Source organism: Homo sapiens, chromosome 12 (genome assembly GCF_000001405.40).
Source record: "Homo sapiens chromosome 12, GRCh38.p14 Primary Assembly".
Taxonomy (NCBI): domain Eukaryota; kingdom Metazoa; phylum Chordata; class Mammalia; order Primates; family Hominidae; genus Homo; species Homo sapiens.
This window is the reverse complement of record NC_000012.12, coordinates 73,977,587-73,979,965: the sequence shown is the minus strand read 5'-3', so window position 1 is coordinate 73,979,965 and position 2,379 is coordinate 73,977,587. Positions and strand designations below refer to the sequence as shown.

General features: G+C 44.6%; 1 annotated feature.

Moving 5' to 3' along the window:
- Positions 1,193 to 1,765: an enhancer, noted in NCBI's record as "NANOG-H3K27ac-H3K4me1 hESC enhancer chr12:74371981-74372553 (GRCh37/hg19 assembly coordinates)". NCBI's record gives its function as "activates a minimal SCP1, AML or CMV promoter by ChIP-STARR-seq in naive H9 embryonic stem cells {active_cell/tissue: H9 hESC(naive)}" and the evidence as "EXISTENCE:reporter gene assay evidence [ECO:0000049][PMID:30033119]".

The following is a 2,379-nucleotide window of genomic DNA, read 5'->3' as shown; positions in this document are numbered from 1 at the left end:
ATTGATGGGTGTTGACTCTTTATCCAATTTGCCAGGCTGTGTCTTTTAATTGGAGCATTTAGTCCATTTACATTTAAAGTTATTATTGTTATGTGTGAATTTGATCCTGTCATTATGATGTTAGCTGGTTATTTTGCTCGTTAGTTGATGCATTTACTTCCTAGTCTCGATGGTCTTTACATTTTGGCATGATTTTGCAGCGGCTGGTACTGGTTGTTCCTTTCCATGTTTAGCACTTCCTTCAGGAGCTCTTTTAGGGCAGGCCTGGTGGTGACAAAATGTCTCAGCATTTGCTTGTGTGTAAAGTATTTTATTTCTCCTTCACTTATGAAGCTTAGTTTGGCTGGATATGAAATTCTGCATTGAAAATTCTTTTCTTTAAGAATGTTGAATATTGGCCCCCACTCTCTTCTGGCTTGTAGGGTTTCTGCCAACAGATCCGCTGTTAGTCTGATGGGCTTCCCTTTGAGAGTAACCCGACCTTTCTCTCTGGCTGCCCTTAACATTTTTTCCTTCATTTCAACTTTGGTGAATCTGACAATTATGTGTCTTGGAGTTGCTCTTCTGGAGGAGTATCTTTGTGGCGTTCTCTGTATTTCCTGAATCTGAACGTTGGCCTGCCTTGCTAGATTGGGGAAGTTCTCCTGGATAATATCCTGCAGAGTGTTTTCCAATTTGGTTCCATTCTCCCCATCACTTTCAGGTACACCAATCAGACGTAGATTTGGTCTTTTCACATAGTCCCATATTTCTTGGAGGCTTTGCTCATTTCTTTTTATTCTTTTTTCTCTAAACTTCCCTTCTCGCTTCATTTCATTCATTTAATCTTCCATTGCTGATACCCTTTTTTCCAGTTGATTGCATTGGCTCCTGAGGCTTCTGCATTCTTCATGTAGTTCTCGAGCCTTGGCATTCGGCTTCATCAGCTCCTTTAAGCACTTATCTGTATTGGTTATTCTAGTTACACATTCTTCTAAATTTTTTTCAAAGTTTTCAACTTCTTTGCCTTTGGTTTGAATGTCTTCCCGTAGCTCAGAGTAATTTGATCGTCTGAAGCCTTCTTCTCTCAGCTCGTCAAAGTCATTCTCCGTCCAGCTTTGTTCCGTTGCTGGTGAGGAACTGCGTTCCTTTGGAGGAGGAGAGGCACTCTGCTTTTTAGAGTTTCCAGTTTTTCTGTTCTGTTTTTTCCCCATCTTTGTGGTTTTATCTACTTTTGGTCTTTGATGATGGTGATGTACAGATGGGTTTTTGGTGTGGATGTCCTTTCTGTTTGTTAAGTTTTCCTTCTAACAGACAGGACCCTCAGCTGCAGGTCTGTTGGAGTACCCTGCTGTGTGAGATGTCTGTGTGCCCCTGCTGGGGGGTGCCTCCCAGTTAGGCTGCTCGGTGGTCAGGGGTCAGGGACCCACTTCAGGAGGCAGTCTGCCCGTTCTCAGATCTCCAGCTGCATGCTGGGAGAACCACTGCTCTCTTCAAAGCTGTCAGACAGGGACATTTAAGTCTGCAGAGGTTACTGCTGTCTTTTTGTTTGTCTGTGCCCTGCCCCCAGAGGTGGAGCCTACAGAGGCAGTCCAGCCTCCTTGAGCTGTGGTGGGCTTCACCCAGTTGGAGCTTCCTGGCTGCTTTGTTTACCTAAGCACGCCTGGGCAATGGTGGGCGCCCCTCCCCCAGCCTCGCTGCCGCCTTGCAGTTTGATCTCAGACTGCTGTGCTAGCAATCAGCGAGACTCCGTGGGGTAGGACCCTCCAAGCCAGGTGTCGGATATAATCTCGTGGTGCGCTATTTTTTAAGCCCGTCGGAAAAGCGCAGTATTTGGGTGGGCGCGACCCGATTTTCCAGATGCAGTCTGTCACCCCTTTCTTTGACTAGGAAAGGGAACTCCCTGACCCCTTGCGCTTCCTGCGCCCACTGTCTGGCACTCCCTAGTGAGATGAACCCAGTACCTCAGATGGAAATGCAGAAATCACCCGTTTTCTGCGTCGCTCACGCTGGGAGCTGTAGACTGGAGCTGTTCCTATTCGGCCATCTTGGCTCCTCCGGCCCCCATGCATTCTTGAAGTAATTCTTAGTTCTTTTTCTTTTCACCTCGCTTCTATTTCCTTAACCTTGAAGTTTCACTTTTTAATCATCGCAAATGTATGTGGAGTCTCTAGCACAATGCCTAGCATATCAAAAGCATCTAATAAGTGTTATTTTCCTTCTCATTTTAATGCTGCCAAAATTAACTGTTTTCTTAAACTGCAAATCAAAGAAAACAATCCTTTAAATTTGTGCAATTAGACCATGCTTTGGGGTTGTATATGTCTATTTAATAGAACTGTTAATGTCTTGCCCATTTATTCTTTAAATCTCTGTCTAAACTATCACATCAGATGACAA